This window comes from Homo sapiens, chromosome 19 (genome assembly GCF_000001405.40).
Source record: "Homo sapiens chromosome 19, GRCh38.p14 Primary Assembly".
Taxonomy (NCBI): Eukaryota; Metazoa; Chordata; class Mammalia; order Primates; family Hominidae; genus Homo; species Homo sapiens.
In genome coordinates, this window is record NC_000019.10 from 30,363,486 (window position 1) to 30,381,467 (window position 17,982).

At 47.6% G+C, this 17,982-nt stretch overlaps 1 protein-coding gene across 46 annotated transcripts in view, besides 2 other annotated features; it reads left to right on the forward strand.

Annotated features, from left to right (window-relative positions):
- ZNF536 (zinc finger protein 536) overlaps positions 1–17,982 on the forward strand; it is a 487,995-nt gene that overhangs the window by 137,894 nt on the left and 332,119 nt on the right. For 4 of the 46 annotated variants that reach the window (XM_011527557.3, NM_001352260.2, XM_011527560.3 and 1 more), the window contains exon 1: positions 8,899–9,071. The exons of the other annotated variants lie outside the window; for them this stretch is intronic. The gene's annotated coding sequence lies outside the window, so the exon portion shown is untranslated. Of the gene's footprint in view, positions 1–8,898; positions 9,072–17,982 lie in introns of those variants that run through there. 46 annotated transcript variants of the gene reach the window in all.
- Positions 9,943–10,444: an enhancer, noted in NCBI's record as "OCT4-NANOG-H3K4me1 hESC enhancer chr19:30864335-30864836 (GRCh37/hg19 assembly coordinates)". NCBI's record gives its function as "activates a minimal SCP1, AML or CMV promoter by ChIP-STARR-seq in primed H9 embryonic stem cells {active_cell/tissue: H9 hESC(primed)}" and the evidence as "EXISTENCE:reporter gene assay evidence [ECO:0000049][PMID:30033119]".
- Positions 11,612–12,112: an enhancer, noted in NCBI's record as "H3K4me1 hESC enhancer chr19:30866004-30866504 (GRCh37/hg19 assembly coordinates)". NCBI's record gives its function as "activates a minimal SCP1, AML or CMV promoter by ChIP-STARR-seq in primed H9 embryonic stem cells {active_cell/tissue: H9 hESC(primed)}" and the evidence as "EXISTENCE:reporter gene assay evidence [ECO:0000049][PMID:30033119]".

Here is a 17,982-nt window from a genome sequence, read left to right on the forward strand (position 1 = left end):
TACACAGAGCCTGGCTACTCTACCCGGAACCACCATCCTAGGCAATGATGGGCTACAGCTACAGACGGGAAGAACCTACACATCACAAACCACATCGCAAAGTAGAACACAACCAGTGCCACCTCCGAGATTCAATGGAGAGCCATGAATTCTCAGGCGAGATGGAGAGATCAGTTAATAAAAGCAATAAGAATAAATTGTTGACTGATAATAAAGGAGCTAATAATTGTTGTGCACTTCCTCTGTGCTCAGCACTGTGCAATCATTTAAAGAGAGGAAAAACTGGGCTAGTTTTGAGGCCAGGAAGAGCTTCATGGAAGGGCTGGCCTTGGAGCTGGACCTTGAGAGACCAGGAAAATATTCACCAATCGAGATGGGAGAAGGCAAGAGAGAAGCTTCTTGCAGAAGGCAGGGGTTTGTCAGATGCATTTGCAGATTTAGGAGGGGGAATTGAAGTGGTCATTCCCAGCAGATGCAAGAGAGGGGGAATCTGGAAAAACTGAGGGCAGATAGGTGTGTTGGAGAATGTTAAGCATCTCTGTTTCATTGGAACTTAGGATACAGGTGTGAGATGTATAGGATATAGCATAAGAGCAGGCAAGCGTGGAGGTGTAGGCTGGAGCCCCACGGTGAACAAAGCTGTGTGCCCAATTAAGGTATTTGTGACTCACTGGGATATAGCCAAGAATGGAGCCGCTAGAAAACCATTTGCTGAACTGACACAGGGAAAGTGGGAATGGGAGAAAGAGAGTCACCCTAGCCAGGCACAGAGGCTCATGTCTGTAATCCCAGCATTTTGGGAGGCTGAGGTGGGCAGATCACTTGAGCCTAGGAGTTCAAGACCAGCTTAGACAACATAGGGAGACCCCATCTCTACAAAAATATACAAAAATTAGCTGGGCATGGTGGCGTGCACCTGCAATCCTAGCTACTCGGGAGGCTGAGGTGGGAGGATGGCTTGAGCCCAGGGGTCAGTGAGCCAAGATCCCACCATTGCATGCCAACTTGGATGACAGAGAAAGATCCTGTCTTAAAAAATAAAAATAAAAGAGAATCACTTCACCAGCCTCTTGCAGAACTTGCTGTTGCCTTTCTCTCGATTGAGGCTTATAGTGACTGCAGGAAGAAAGATGGAAATTGGGACAAGCTAAGTTTGGGGTGTCCAGAAAGTGTCCAGCCTGCACAGGGTGCATTGCAGGCAGTCCCAGCACGCTCTCAGGCCAGGGCATGAACTGTATACAAGCAACTTGGCCTTAAGGTAACAGCAAAAAGTGATGACTCTTTAGAAAAGAAAAACACCCTTTATATTCATCAGGGTCATATGCGTTTTTCTTTTCATATGTATACAAAAGAGGTACTTTGGGTGATACAAGGGGTATATGCCAATGTCAAGAGCAGGCAAGAACAATGGAAAAATTAGCAGATTCATCAGTTCTCCTGCTTATACTTCAGTTCCAAGAGTAAAATGTTAGTTTGTTCAACTCTGCGCTTTACGCCTTGATCACAGTGTGAAAAGTGTTGACTAAGCTTAGCTTCCTGGTCAGAGGGTCAAGACCCGTGGCTTTTAAACATGCTTATATGAAATCCAAACATTCATGGTCACTAGTGATCTGAAATCAAGGCACAACTTATGAAATGAACACGTAATTATCTTGTTTACTCAGGGTATAAATAGAGTTCATGCATTTTAAAATTTTTCTTCCTGAAAAGGACTTGCGCCAGCATTTGGTCTTTAGATAGGCATGTGCTCTCTCTCTCTCTCTGTCTCTCTGATGCTCTTGTTCTTTCTCTTCTTCATCTTTTTCCTCCTGTCCCTGTTCCTCCCCAAACTTTCCTTCTCCCCTCCCCTCTCTGTTGTCTTTCTCTCTTCCCTCTCTCTTCCTCCCCCTCTCTCTCCTTTAGAAGGGAAGGGACTTGCTAGTGCTTGTTGCCCCTGCAAGAGGCAGGAACAGCCATTGCAGTTCTTTCTAGGAGTATTTCCTGCTTCCCACACAGCTTTGGTGGGGGGAAGATGCTGCCCAGGGAATCCCTGGTGTGCTTGAACATAGCATTGCCACTTCTATGAATGCAGGCAAGGGCCACGAAGCCCACGTCTGCTTCAGACAACCCAGCTGACCACCAGGTCCCGTGTAGCAAGGACTCCCGTGGAGGTAACCTTCCCAGGCACTCCCTGTGAGGCTCTGCTTCTGCGGGGAATGAGAGGACTGACTCCTTAGCTCTAAGCTGGCCACTTCCAGCATTCCCACACCTAATTTTGGAGTTTTTCCAGAGTGAGAACCACCTGCTTGTGGACTTTAATAGTTTTTAAGTAGGCACACTTTTTCCCATAACATATTATATTTAGCTTTGTCCTGGATAATAATAGCTACGAAATCTCTGGTTGAATTTGCCAGTTATATATTTTTCATATGAAACATCAGAATAATTATATAAGCCTTCATTTTTTAAAAAAAATAGGAGTTTCTCTATGTATCATCTGAAATCTTGCTATGTGTCTGGTGATCTCTGTGCAACTTTGGGGCACTGTTTGGGATTTTCATATCTAGCTGGGTTCTTGGAATCTAGTGCAAGGAAGTCACCCCCGCCGAACCCCTGAGGAAGCCCCACGTGAACTCCTCCAGCCCACAGTAAGTTCTCCTCTGTCTTCATGGTCCTTCCCTTTGAATCCCTAATTGCCATTTAATCATATGCCGCTCTGGTCATATCTGACAACACTGTGAGCGGCTGCTGGGCAATGCTTTCTGGCTCTGTCACTTTCCCTTCTAAATTGCAAGACTCTTGAGAGTGGGCACCATGTTCTTCCGTGTCAGGCAAAGTGCCTGATCAATTGAGCTAGCTGTCAGTCTGTCTATCTGTCTATTATCTACCTATCATATCTCTATCTATCTATCTATCTATCTATCTATCTATCTATATCTATCTCCTTCCTTCCTTCTTTCCTTCCTTCCTTTATTCATTTCTTCCTTTCTCCTTCTCTCCTTCCCTTCCTTTTCTCTCTAGATCTATCATCTTATCTGTCAATCTATCTATGTATTTAGCATCTCTCTATATACAGATAGATCTATTTACCTTTCTTCCTCTCTAGATCTATCATTTGTCTATCTATCTATCTATCTATCTATCTATCTATCTATCTATCTATCATCTATCCATCTATCCCCTATTTTCCCTTTCCACTCCCTCTCTTCTCTTTCATCCTACTTGATGAGCCAGGTACTGTTTTTGGCCCTGAGAATGTAGCAGAGAACAAAATAGCCACAGTCCCTGCCCTCTTGTAGCTGACATTCCAGTTGGAGGAGTCAGGCAATAAATACATAAATACTATTCTATAGGAAGAAGCTAGAACACCATTTGTTAGGGCAAATGCCACACCAAGTGTTCAAACAGGGGGATCTGAAGCTGAGGGACTGAGGGCTGGCTGAGACTGTGTGATAAGGGAAGGCCCTCTGGGGAGGAGACACTGAGTCCCATGGAGATGGCAGCACCTGGACAGAGGACACAGCAGGTGTAAAGGCCCCAGGGCAGTGACAGCCTGGATGAGTTTGAGGAGCAGAAAGAAAATGCAATAAAAGGATGACACTTATTTGGTTTCAACTTCGACAAGGGTCAGTTTTTCCATTTCTCACTTGCTAGGGGCAGTGGCCCCTTTTCCATGGAAGAAAGTCTGACCTCTCACCTCTGAAAGACCCTCCGCCACATCCCTTCTGCTGGGGTGCTTGGGACGTTCCGTGCTGTTCCCTTGCAGGGTTGGAGGGTGGGAGGGGAGCGTGCCGTGGTGAGGCCACCGCTGACATGCTAATATTTCATTTTAATCTTGAGTGCCAGGTTACTTCCTGAATGAAGTGTCTCAGACAAGGCTCTAACTTACATGAAATAAAAGAGTTTAATGCTAATTACACATCATCTGACTACCAAAGCCATATTTATTGATGGCCTAAAAACACCATTGAGGTGGATGGACTGGGTATCTGTCTTGGCTAGAAATGCACCTGGAGTCCCTTTAGACTCCTTTGCAATTCACACCTGCACGCCCCATGCATGGCAAAGCCCAGGGCATGTGGATGTGGAGTGCGGGGAGCTGGAGCGATCCCTTTGGCTTTCTCTACCAGCTGGATAGATCAGAGCCTTCAATGCCCATTTGATTCAGGAAGTCTGGGGTGGAGCCTGAGCTGCTCACCTTTAGCCCCTGGGAAGTGCTGGTGATGCTGGTCGCGTGACAGCAGCGCAGTGAGACATGAGAGTCTGGAGTAGCTGAGGGGCGAGCGCTCTCTGATCTTGGCTCCTGGCCTCACAGATCACAGGGAATGACACCGATGAGTAGAGCCTTGCACTTCACCGTCTTGCCTACCACCTCGATCTCTCTCTTCTCCTTTTCCTTCTTCCTGTGTCCCAGTCCTTCCTCCTGCACCTTCCCATGTCGGTTTTGCTGTGGGCTCTCCAAGGCTAAGCACAGCATTTTCTCATACTTGTTAAAGTATCCATTGCACAGCTGGACCACCATCTCCCACCCTGTGCCTTGGTTCTGGTCGTCTGAACTTCATGCCTGGTCTCCCCACCTAGACTTTGAGCCACTGAAGGGCAGAGCCTCTGTCCCTCCCTCCTACTCCTGTCCCTCCTGGGTTCCCAGATTCTTCTTGTGATGACAAGGAAGAAGCATATACTCCCCCACTCTCTGCAAGGAGAGACTCATGGAGGGCAGAGCTGGCTGCAGCAGCTACATGTTGATTGAAACGTGGTGGGGTGGGGCCCGAAACACAAGTCGTGTTCTTCCAGTCCATCCTCCAGCTTCTCCTTAGCGTATCTTCTTTTGACCATATCTTTCCTCTCATCAGCATTCTCTGAATGGTGCACACTACGGCTGCAAAACTCTAGTTGCCAAATGTGAAGTGTCACCAAATCCTCTCCCTCCATCTGTCTACACAGAAACCTCACTACCTCGCTTGCCTTTGCCCTTTGCAACTGAAGTCACACGGACGTCCTGCTGATGTGCCTGCGAGGGCAACAGCATTTCCATCAGTGTCTGAGGTTGTGACCACCTGGAGAAGGCACCCTGGTGGCTGTCCATGGGGAATGTGGGTTTAATGTTGCTAGAGCTTTGGATTTTTCAAGCAAAAGCAGGAATCTCTATTTTTACATGAAACTCAACACGTTGATGACCCTTACATATCTTTGCTTAAATTGCCATGTGAGCCACACAAGTTATGAGTTGGTGGAATTCAGCGAGCAGACCTCAAGGTGTGGCCTCTGGTACAAACCAACTGTAGGGAGGATTCCATGGATTCGACAGCGGAGAATCTCACCGGGTCCAAGGGAGGGGACTGGTGGAGGCTGAGTCTTCAGCTGCTCCGCTTGCTTGGTGAAGGATTATCACATGGAAAGGGCTTTGAGGACTCAGGAGCCATTTTGCAAACGTAGACCCTGATGTGGCTCTCAGGCCTCAGGAAAACTCATTCTTTATACCAGCTTGTCTGTAGCCCACCTATAATTAGCATCTGAAATTTCTAAATGAACTGACTGATCCAGTAAATTTAGCAAACTTGTTGTGAAGTGTTACCAACTCGTCTCCCTCCAACTGTCCACGCAGACGCCACACTACCTTGCTTGCCTTTGCTCTTTGGAACTGAGGTGCTTATGTGCACTGTCTGGCAGCCACGCAGACATCCCATTTATGTGATCTATAATGAGTTTATTAGTGTTTCACTGCCTTGTTGCTATTAAGTTTTATCAGTTTCAGCTTCAAGAGCACAAGGTTAAATTTTCAATAGAGTTTTCGCAAAGTTTAAGTGGGATTAAGATTGTTAAAAATATGTCCAAATGGTGGAAACATGTATTTGGTTTGATGATACTATTTCTGCCCACTCAAGGATTTTGATCTCTTATTTATAAATGTAACACTTTTCTGAAAACCAGAATGGTAGCACAGGGCTCGGATTTTCTTTTTGCAAATGAAACATGAATGCATTAAATGTGGAGGATCACACTGAAGCTGTGTCAATTGAGTCCGACCCGTCTGCGATTGTGCAGTCTAGATGTTGCTGTCACTGTCCCGGGGTGTGGTTTTTGACTGGCTGTTGCTTTGACCTGGCAAATAAAAATTGTAAAGGAAAAGACAAAATTCTTCCACAAATTGCAAAGGGATGAATTATGACATTATTTTCTCCCTGTACCATAAGATAAGCAGGTTCTCCTCTGAAAATACATGTGTGCATAATTGAATATTGTTAACCTGGGTCTGTTCTGTAATTCTTGAGCAATTTTTTTTTAGAAGGAAACCAACTCAGGAGTTTCTTCAGTGGCTGCAATCAGAATAAAGTGTTTCCACTTTTAGATTAAGAGAAAAAAAAACAGTAATAGGCTGGGCTGTTATTATGGAAAGTTTATTATTATTGGTACATAAGCTAGCTGGGGGTTTAAGCACAGAGCAGTTGGATAATTTAGCTAGCTCCTGGATCCAATTAAAAAAAATATATGTTGTGTCCACAGTGGGGGGATGGCCATCGCTGAGAAAGCACTCTAACGTGGATGGTGACACACCTGTGGCATTCTCTTGGTTATACGCAGTTTGGGATGCAGAATGCTGTAAATCCTCTCATTACTGCCTTAGAGAAGGCAGACACTTCAAACAGTTCTCCATTTATCTGAGATTACCAGTTAAACTCGTTAAAAAGCAACTATGGCTTGTTCACTCAATTGGCTGTTGGGAAGATTTCTGTGTTCTGTAGCAATGGCGACAGCGTGGCTTTGATTAGTGGAGTGCTATACTTTTTAGGGGAGACCTTTTCTAACTTAATTTATGACTCTGGTTGAATGGCGTCTGTGCTGGGGTATTACGTATTTCCCCAACTATTGTACCTGATGTCAATAAAGGTGCATTTAGGGAAATTTGAACTAAAACCCCAGGGTGTTTTTGTTCTTTGGGGAACCAATGCGCCATAAACATTTTGAACTTGAGCCAACAACCTCCCCTGACCATGATTGCAAATTACTGTAGAATGTATGGATTGCTGGCGGAACACTATTTGAGGAAACCTGTATTTTATAGAATGTCACTTTTATGCACAATCCAGGCAAAACAGAGGGGAAAAAAACTAATTTAAACAGCAGACAGTGTTCTCTTGAATGAAGATTATGACAAAGAATGTTATAAAAATCAAGCTCTAAATATGGCTTTTTATTTAATCATTATTACATCAATCATCAATATCAATACTTAACAGCAAGCTGATAATGTAGCCAGTAGGTGAAACAGCTATTAAAAAGTGTAAAAAAATGATTAATCAGGTACGGGGGATATTAATGCCCTCCAATTATTAAATGATAAGTACGTATTTTTGGAAGTGTTTGTTTTTAATAATCAACTGTAATATTAGTTTGCAAAAACGTAATTGCTTCTTAATTTTGCATTTTAGCTTCTTTGTGCTGGGTACAAAGGTAGTATGTTTCTGTAGTTATTGTTTGCAGCACTCCGTGTAAAAAATCACGTTCATTTCAAGAAGCTGTTATGGTATTGATTGTGGTAAAGACTTCCATTAACTGACCAATCTAAATCTCATAAGTGATGTCAGGATAGTTATGCATTTGCTTGGTTCAAGTATTCAGCCATTATGTTAGAATGCAGGCAGTGTCTGAATATGGCTGTTAAATTATTTCTAAATACCGAACCAGAACAGCTTAACAGTTCTGCAGTTTGAGACTGACACAAAAATGACAATCTGCCACCTCTTTGTTTTTTAAATATTAACGCTGTATTGGGATAGTATTTTTGGAGTAAAAACCTGTGGCACGAGAGGATAAGTGACATAAACAAAGGCAGCTGGGCTTCATGAAATAATGGAACAATAAGGCCTTTGCAGCCGCTCTCATCACTCCAGTATGTTAATTAGCATTCTGTTGTGGCCGCAACACTGAAAACATGTAATCTGTATTGGTGTACAGTACAGCTGTGAACACACATTCTTTTTTGTGAGTCCCTGGAGTTAGCCTTGCCATTGGCATATGCGTTTGGGCCAAAAGTCAAGCCATCACCACTAAAATAGCACACCATAGCAGCAAAATGTCATTTGTCTTTTCTTGTTTTTTTTTTTTTGTTTTTTTTTTCTCTCCCCTCAATGCCACATGCTATCCAGTGATGTAATCTAGTATCACTGCATCTGCCTCCCTGCTGTATTTTTGCAGGAGGGTATCTGGATATCTGTAGGGGAAAGGAGGGGGCATTGCCAGCCAGCAGGAGATGGAAAAGGCAGCGGCCCCAAAAGAGTCAAATTAGAAAATAAATTATTTCTTTTTGCATTATATGTTTAAATGCATATATAGAGAATATATATATATATATGCATATATATGTGTGTGTGTATATATATAAAGAGAGAATATATATACATTGAAGAATCTATGCATTTAATATCTGCCACCTTTTTGCATAGATTCTTCCTTAAGTGTCATGAAACTAGAATCCGCTGCTTGTTTTCGTAAGGTAAAAGAAGGGCAGTTAATTTCAGCACCAAGGCTTGGAGGAAATGAGACCTAAGAAAAAAGAATCAGAGTAAAATTTACCCTTATTTATCATTTCTATTTAGAACTGGGTTGACAGTCTTTCATGCATGTACTTAGGATGGGATTGGCTCTTCCCATTTCAGAGCTGACAAAACTGAGGCTGAGGCATGGTCCAAAGATGGGCCCTAATTGCAGGGCCTTTCTGGCCTCTGTACAGAGAGAGTGAAAACAATTGGTCATTTTGAGGGAAAGGGGTTAGCACCAGTGAGCAGAGGCAGTTAGTAGCTGGGAGCAGTGACTCCAGCCTTCAGAGGCAGGACTCAGAAAGGCCTCTCTTGTGTGATTTTGCTGCTCACACGTGGCCTGCTGGGAGCCGCCCCTGGTACTGCCGGGACACGGCCCTGGGATTTTGCTGAGGCCAGCTTTGGAACAGGGGAGGTGAGTCTGGAGAAGAGAGTTTCCACGTTGTCATCATAGGATCTGGACTCAAGTGACCAAAACCTTGCTTGGATTTTTACCTGATGAAGTTTGTCTTGAAAAGTGAAAATGGTTCCATTTCCATTTTCCCTGTTCTCAAGGTAATTCAGCTTTCTTTGTGTGTGAGTGTGTGAGTGTGTGCAAGTGTGTGTGCGTGCAGTCTCCCCAGCATAGAACACCCACACATGCACCCACCCACATGCAGACACGCACATACTCATGCATGGATTCTTGTTCACGAAGTACACACCCTTTTGCAAAATAATTTTTGAATAAAAAATTATAGCCCTTTAAATTTATTATAATTTAGAAAGGGACCATCCGATGGTTAAAACTTTTCCTATAATTCCTACATTAATTCTCTCCATCACCCGCCCCCCCCATCTAATCTGACTGTACCAAAAGATTTGAAAACAAAGCAAAAACACCAACCAACCAAACAAAACAACCCACCTGCTTCTAAAGTAACTTTCAGACTCCCTGGGCAAAGATTCTTGTCTCTTTCTGAAAGATGAGCATGAATTCTGAGCTCCAAATTTTGCTTTTAATCTGTCTCCAACCTAATTGAAAAATTACCATACCACACAAAGAAAACTCCGCATCGGGATCACCATGCTGATCCAATTGGGTTCTGCTTTTTGACGTTAGAGAAATCAAATTGTCTGGCGATTTGGTGACATGCTTGAATGTCCACCTGGGAGAAGACTAGGTTAAAAGTTAATAGCACTTGTGCTTTTCTTCCCCCCGACCTTTTTTTAAACTCCAGTAGAACGGAACTCTTCCCCACTGGCCAGGCCCTCATCCTGAATCCCTTGTCCAGCCTGGAGGTCTTCTGAGAGTTCTCAGTTGGCACCTTTCCCCTGACTTGTCCCTGTGAGGTAAGGCAGGGCTGACACTGAGATTTTAGTTCTGTTGTTCTTTTTTTTTTCCTAGAAATTCACACCCCCCACCCCTTGGTTAATGGCTCTTTAAATATTGAAATGCCTGGAAAAACAAAACAAAATAAAATAAAATGCAGCCTGTCAAAGAAATAAGAACAACAACAACAAAAATGTTGGTATCTTTTAGAATGTGTCTTCCTAGTGGTAAAAGTATATAATTAATAGGAGAATTTTCCTCCAGATGTGGCTATACTATAATAGAGCCTTATAAATGCTACAGAAAGAAAAATTGCTTGGAACGAAGGCGTCCTCAATGAGAGCACACCTGGGTCTGACAAAGATTGCATTTAGGGACTGCTGTGCTATCACAACGCAGAGAAAGACCAAGTCTCTGGGAGCAGCTGGAGAGAAAGCCCCGGCAAATCTGCATGCAAATAGCAGCACATTGTTAACTTAATCAGATGCCGAGGAAAGATGTGCCAGAATTCCAGGATGATCTACACACACGGAGGAGGAGCGGCCTGAGCTGCAGTGGGAGCCGGGGCCAAGGTGGGCCTCAGCAAGGTGCACGCGGCCCGGCCCCAGCCCCAGGGCCGCAGCCCACCCGCCGCCCGCCTGTTTTCCGGGCCTGCAGTCAATTCACCACATAATGCCCGATTCGCTCTTTGCAAAGATAGAAACGATAGAGCGTATTTCAATGGGATGGAAGCTTTATTATTATTATTTTTTAATGGTGATATAGGTATGGGCATTATTTCGCCTGAGTCCGTAACTCCAATTAAATAATATTTCTGCTTAAATATCCGGGTGCATGAAGATAAGAAATATTGCCCTGGAGTGTATAAAGAAAGAGTTTTTTTTTCAATAAGAAAAGTAGTTCTCTATAGGTTGAAGTGCTGGGTATAAATTGCACCTTAAGAAGAAGTGGAAGACACCTGTTATTTATATTTTATATTAATATTAATGGAAATATATATATCTTAAATCTCCATCTTTTAGTCTAGCACCGTAAAAAATATAAAGTAATACTATTTAATCACCCACAGCTTAATAGTGCCTTAGTTGTTTACTGCCATTGCACTAATTGCTCTGTACTAATGTGTTTTTCTGTGATATCCAGTAGTGCTAAGAGAACAGAGATCCATAACCAATTAAATATAGTGTTTTTTTTTAATGTTAAAAATATATCTGGTGAGGCTAGAAAAGGAATAGAAACCGCCCTGAAGAAAGGCGCCTTGGCACCGCCTCGGTGCCCACCAGAAGGTGCCCGGATTGCCTCTTTTGCGCAAAGACAAAGGGGGTAATTTTTTGGCAAGAAAACAAACCCAAGGAAAACACAACAAACTGAGTGTTGTTTTTTTTTCTTTCCCTCCTGCAACTTCTCGGACCGTCTCTGCCCTCTCTCCTCCAGAGAGGGCGAGTTTCATCCTGGAGGGAGGCCGGGGGAGCTGCGAGGCCACCCCCAGCCGGCGCCCGGGCGGATTGCGAGCCCCCGCGGGTCCGGCCGGGGGAGCGGAGACTGGCCCCCCGCCCGGGCTGGGGCGCCTGCCGCCCGCGAGCCGGAAGAGCGCCCCATTCACGAGCAGGCAGCCCTGGCAGAGGGTTAATTGAGGATCATTGTTGTTGGTTCCAGGAGGAGCGAAGCGCCTGGAGATCGGGCGCGCGGGCGCGGCTCTGGGAGCGGGGGAAGGTGAGGGGAAATGGGACATGATGGCATTAATAATCGTTACCAAAGACGGTGGGAGTAACAAAGGAATGCGTCTCCGAGACGCCGCCCAGCCCCGGGGTGTTTTCTGGCGCGGTCGCGGTGCAGGAACGCGAGCCCCGCCGCCGAGCCTCCCGCCGCCTGCGTTCGTTGGCGCGGCGCCCGGCGGTAGTGCCACCCCGAGGCCGAGCGCTGCCCCCGCCGGCCCGCGGCTGCCAGCCGGCCCTGCCCGCGCCCGGGCCCCGCGAGCGGCCGCACTTCACCTTACGGAGGGGAGATAATGAGATCAATTAGAGGCGCCGTCACCGCGCCGGAGACAGCTGCCGCCGCATAGTAATCACCCGCGGGCTGGGTGCGCGGGGGCTCCCCGCTACCTGCGCGCCTGCTGCTCCCACCACGCGGCACCGACCCGGGCGCGCCCCCGGCCCCTGTCCGCAGCCCACAGCCACACCGCGCACCCTACACCCTCCTTGCGCCTCTGCTGGGGAGCTCACCCCCTCCACTCGCACAGTGCGCTGCGGCCCGGGGTGTGGGAGGTCCCGGGACTTGGGGTGTGAGTGCCTGTGTGGGGGTAGGGGCAGGTGTCCGCTTGTGCGCATATGGGCATGAGTGTACATGGCGTGTGCCTGGAGATGGGCGAGTGCAGGCTGGAATGTGCCGGCGTGGCACGTGTGTGGGCCCAAATAGATGCGTGTGTGATCACATGTTGTGTTCGTGTTTGCACCTCGTGTGCCTGTGTGTCCGTATTTGAGTGCTTACAGGAATGTGGGTGGTGAGTACCCGTATGTGGGTGCTATCTGCACTTGTATGCGTGTGTGTGTGTAGGCGCGTGTGTGTGCGTGTGTGTGTTAGGGATACGTGTAGATGTGCATTAGTGTGACTGTGTGTGCTCATGTGCCTGTGCACGTGTGTTTGAGGTTTGTGTGCATGGGTAGCGTCTGTGAGAGCCATGTGTATATCTGCATGGGTGATGAGTGTGTGAATGAGTGTGCGCGGGTGCCCACTCCATGTGAGTGTATGCCCATGTGTGTGCTTGATGTCTTGAGGGTGGGGACAGCTGCTGTAGCGCCCTCTCCCTCAACCCCTTGTCCTCTAGTGGCTCCATGGGTACCAAGGTTTCTTTGCCAGGCAGTTGTCCCTGAGGAAATTTCCAGTGCCCAGTCTCCCTGGTCCATACCTTGGCATCCCCTCTCCCCCAATCCCTATACACGCCTTTGTTGAGGGTGATGGTGATGGTGGCTCTTGACCTCCATCTGTGTCTTTGCCCTGGTGTATTTGCCTTTGTCGGCTGGCCCTGTTCCACCCCGCAGAGGGCGATGGTGTCTCTGACCTGAGCATAGAGGTGCCTTGCCATTTGCTCCACCCCAGCCCCCTGCCTCCCACTACTTATACCAGATAATGAGGCTGGGAACAGCCACCAGAGCCCTCACAGACCCAGGGTGGTGCAGCACCTGTCAATTTCACACAGATAGCACCCACTGGATACTCCGTGGGTCTGGGCAGGGCATCTGCTCACTTTCAGAAACAGAATGGGCCAGGGTCTGAAGAAGAGTGGGAAGCAGCTGTGGTGGGAGTGAGCTGTGGTGGGAGTGTCAGTGAGCTCAGGGCCTTTGCATGGGTTGTTTCCTGCCTGGAGGCACTTTTTTCCTGTGACTCTCAGCTCCATGGTGTGGGTTCCCTCTTCAGCACATCCTCCCTGACACTACCCAGCCAGTATTCCCATTCAGTCACTCACATTGTCCAGTTGACTCCCTTGACTGCCGCCTGGCTCCCCCATTAAAGCACATGTGCCTCCCCCTGCCCCGACCCCACCCCCAGGCTAGGACCTTACCTTCGGGTTCATTGCTGCGCCCAGCATCTGGCTGGTTCTGTGTGCACAGTGGGTACGGGGCAGATGGCCAACAGGTGTTTGCAGGCCTCTGCTACTTGGCTGCCCTGTGGGCTCATAGTCCATCAGGGGAGGCTGGCAGGCATGCTGGGCTAGGGACAGGGCCATCCTGACATGGGGACCCTGGAAGGGGATGGAGCTTCTCTGTCATCGAGAGAGCCAACGTGGCCTGACACTGGGGCAAAGATGTGAAGGAGAAAGAAAGGGGACAACTGTCTCCAGACTTGCCCACTAGACTGAAGGCCTCATGAGGGCAGGAGCCTGGCTCAGGTTCTCGGGAAAGCTGGCAGCCCCTCTGGTCTCAGAGCCTCGGGATGTGGTGGGAGTCCTGGATGTTACCCGTGTGGGCCGCGCTCACAGAACTCATTGTGTTACAGGACCCCACCACTCACCCAAAGTTAGCCTTTGGGCCAGGGGTTTCCACACTATAGTCGCTTCTGTGGTCGCCAGAATGATGTTACGGGAAAGAGGTACCGATCCAGACCCCAAGAGAGGCTTCCTGGATCTTGTGTAAGAAAGAATTCAGGGCGAGTCCGCAGTTCAAAGCAAAAGCAAGTTTATTAAGAAAGTAAAGTGGTGAAAGTACGGCTACTCGTAGACAGAGTAGGGCGTTCAGGAAAGTAAGAAAAGGAATGAGTCCACCCTAGGTCCAATGCTCGTATATATAGGATAAAAAAGATCATGGGGAGATGTGCTCTGCTACAAGGGTTTGTGAAAAGGGAGTAATTTTCTTAATTACTATATTTTGCAAGAATTGATTTTATTATCTTTAAAGCAAAATTAGGAATGCCTTTGTTCTCAAGATATTGGGATATTAGGATACTCCCAAATCTGGGTCTGTTGAGTAACCATTATCAATCTGCTCCCTTAACCATAAACATCTAGCAGCTAGGAATACCTCACTTTCTGGGAATGCAGTCCAGCAGGTCTCAGCCTCATTTTACCCAGCTCCTATTCAAGATGGAGTTGCTCTGGTTCACCTGCCTCTGACAGTTGGGTGGATTCTTTGTTGCCCAATAGGCTCCCAAGGCCACCCTCTCCAGCTGCTGGGAGTCTAATTTCAACCCTGTCTCCTCAAATCTTGTGCCCCTGAACAAGTGATTTGGCCTTGCTGATGGTCTCAACATGGTCTGAGAGTCCCTGTGCTGTCTTCCCTAATGCCAAAATGGACTTGGCAATGAGTGGAGGCTTCTTAGTCGCCCCAGCCTGGATGCCCTAACCAAGTTTGGGTCTACTTTTTATGTTTTTTTAAAGACAAATTTTCACTCAGTCACCCAGGCTGGAGTGAAGTGGCACAATCTTGGCTCACTGCAAACTGCCTCCGTGGTTCAAGCCATTCTTGTGCCTCAGCCTCTCAAGTAGCTGGGACTACAGGCATGAGCCACCATGCCTGGCTAATTTTTGTATTTTTAGTAGAAATAGGGTTTTGCCATGTTGGCTAGTCTGGTCTTCAACTCCTGACCTCAGGTGATCTGCCTGCCTTGGCCTCCCAAAGTAATGGGATTACGGATGTGAGCCACCATGTCTGGCTAATTTTTATATTTTTAGCAGAGATGGGGTTTTGCCAGGTTGGCCAGGTTGGTCTCGAACTCCTGCCACATTTGGGTCTTCCCACACATGCTAGTGGTGCTGAATCGGGGTGGTTTGGCTCCATCTGAGATAATGGGAACATCCTGGCTGCTCTTGAAAGTTCTGCCTTAGACCCAACTGCATCTCCCTTGAGGTCTCTGCCCTTCATTGTCTTCTTTCCATCTCCTGCATTGCTCCAGCCGAGGTCCCTTTTGCTCTAAAGGAGTGGGACAGGAACAAAAACTGGTGAACTTTCTTACAGGAAAGAAAAGCATGAAACCTTGAGTGCCCCTTAACAAGGTGGGAGATGGCTTGTCTCTGTTCTGGACCTCCCGAAGTTGTTCACTTCAAGTTTTGACCCCCTGAGGGCCTCCTGTGTGCAAAACGCTGTGCCAGTGCTGGAGGGACAAAGGTGTGGGCCTGTGTCTTGTCTCTCCCAAAGGATGTTGACAGGGGTCTGGATTTCCCAGAGTCCCAGGCATAAGGAGTGTGGGGAGGGGGTGATAGCTCCAGCCCTGTCCAATGCTTTGGTCCTGAAGATGGGCAGTTGGAAATAACACATGTGCCGTCACCTTGAAAACCTCGGTCAAATATTGTTTGAAATATGGAGGTGATGGTTATTATTTTTATGTCCCAAATGTGATTTGTTTTGAAGTTTGTGTATTCTCCTGACTAGAGCTTTCCTGACAATACCGTGGGAAGGTTTGAGTAAGGCATCCCTCTCCCACTTTTGTTTGTGAGGGTCCAGTTGGTCCTGGCCACTTCCTGAATGGCCTCTGTGTTGGGAGCTCCCGGTGAGGATAAGAAAGAGAAGCCAGCCTGAGCTCTGTGCTGCCCGGCATGATGACAGTGATGTGGTCTTGATTCTTTGAGCGTCAGTCATGGCTCCCAAGTCTGGCAAAATGGACTCCTGGCTGATGTCTTCTCCACTGAGCCTCTGCAACCCCAGTGCGTCATGGGGGTGTGTTGAATGCTTTCTGTGGGGTTGATTCCTGTCGCCATAAGGAGGATGGGGTGGGGCAGGGATGTATCATCGTTGCCAGGAGATCTGACAGGTGGAAGGGGTGAAGGGTGGAGAGGATCATGGGTGAGGACCAGAAAAGGAGGGGTGGGGCTTGAGGGTAGACAAGCAGAAGGGCTGGGGGGTGTAGTGGGTATGCGGTGGGAGGTGGGACGATGCCCAAGTAGGCTGCTCAGGGGTGGTGCAGGGTGGATGAAGGGAAGAGATGCCATAGGTGGGAGTACTCATTCCACTGGCTGCAGGGGATGCTGTAAGGGGTGCTGATGCAGCTTTGCAAAGCCACCAAGGCATGCCTGGGACCTCCTGTGACTGCCCGTCACTCAGGAGCTTTCTCTGTGCCAGGCACTGTGCTAAGTGCCCTACTTACCTTGCCTAATTTCATCTTCACTGGGGAAGTCCTGGCGAAGGAGCTGAGGCTTTTGATCTGTGAATGAGAGAGCTCAGATCCAGAGGGGTAAAAATTTGCCAGATGTCACAGAGCTGGCCAGTGATGGAGCAGGGACTTCTGAGCCCAGGCCACCACCGCCGAGGACATGGCCACTCTTCGTGTTTCCTGCACAGAGCAGCTCCAGCAGGGAGCTGAGCTGAAGACCCCAACAGAAGAAGTCAAGGCAAAATATAGCCCAAGTCCTAGTGCATTCTTCAGGGAGGGCCTTTCTGTGAAAACAGATTTTTTTTTTTGCCAGCCGTCAGCCTTTTGTCCCATTTTCACATGGCCCAATTAGACAATTGCACCCCCTAATTAGCCAGCCTTAGGCACTACTTGTTGCCTGCATAGAAATTCACACATGGGGTTAAACGTTGGCAGGAAACTTCGTCCTTGCAAATGGGAGCCGTGGTGTCAGTGTTGGAGACGGGCCACCCTGCAGTGCATGGCCCAGACCATGCTAAACCCAGCCAGGCCCACGAGCACCCCCGGAGAACCCACGGCTCGGCCCTGAGACACTGTGAGGCCACGTGAATCTGAGTTATCAGTGGCCAAAAAAGAGGGGAGACACAGAAGAGTCATAAATGTTAACTTTTTTAGCACTCTGTAATTCCAAAGTGATTCAACTGATTTGTTTCAAACTCTGCAGGAAAACCCAGCTGTGGCATCAGATGTGAGCCCTCTCAGACCAGAAGGAAATCTCTTGCCCTTCGATGCTTAGCCTTAAGGCAGTGAGAGGGAGGAAGCTGTGTTCTGATTTCCCTTAGAAGTGCAGCTTCCTGAAGGAGGAGTGTGTGGCATTTTCCAGAAGACTCAGGTCTGGCTGCTTCTCAGCAAGGAATGGTCCTGAGTCCACCCAGGTGCCCGATGCGTGTTTCTTATTTATTTTAAAATAAATTTATTTATCTAAATTTATATATTGTTACATATTTTTAATTTTTAATTTTAGAGACAGGGGCTCACTCTGTCACCCAGGCTGGAGTGCAGCCATGCAATCACCGCTCACTGCAGCCTCCAACTCCTGGGCTCAGGTGATCCTCTGGCCTCAGCCTCCTGAGTAGCTGGGACTGCAGGCATGCACCACCATACTCAGCTAATTTTAAAATTTTTTTGTAGAGACAGGGTCTTGCTATGTTGCCCAAGTTGGTCTTGAACTCCTGGCCTCAAGCTATCCTCCTACTTCAGCCTACCAAAGCACTGGGATTACAGGTGTGAGCCACCACCATGCCTGGTCTATATATATCTAATAATCAGCACAAACCATGCCCCCAGAGGGAGCTAATATCTCTTGATTAGATCAATGCTCCTTTGCATCTCCTATGTGCCAGGCACTGTGCTGGGGACTGGGTGACAGGCAAGTTCCTTGTTTAAGTTATGGGGAGGGAGAAGGCAGGGGTGGATAGAGGCTACACAGTCACCTCATACATGAACAGGATTATTCCCACTGGAAAAAAGTGGAATGTGGCAGGGACAGGGTGCCTCATTCAGATGGGGTGGTCTTGGGAGGCCTCTCTAAGGAAG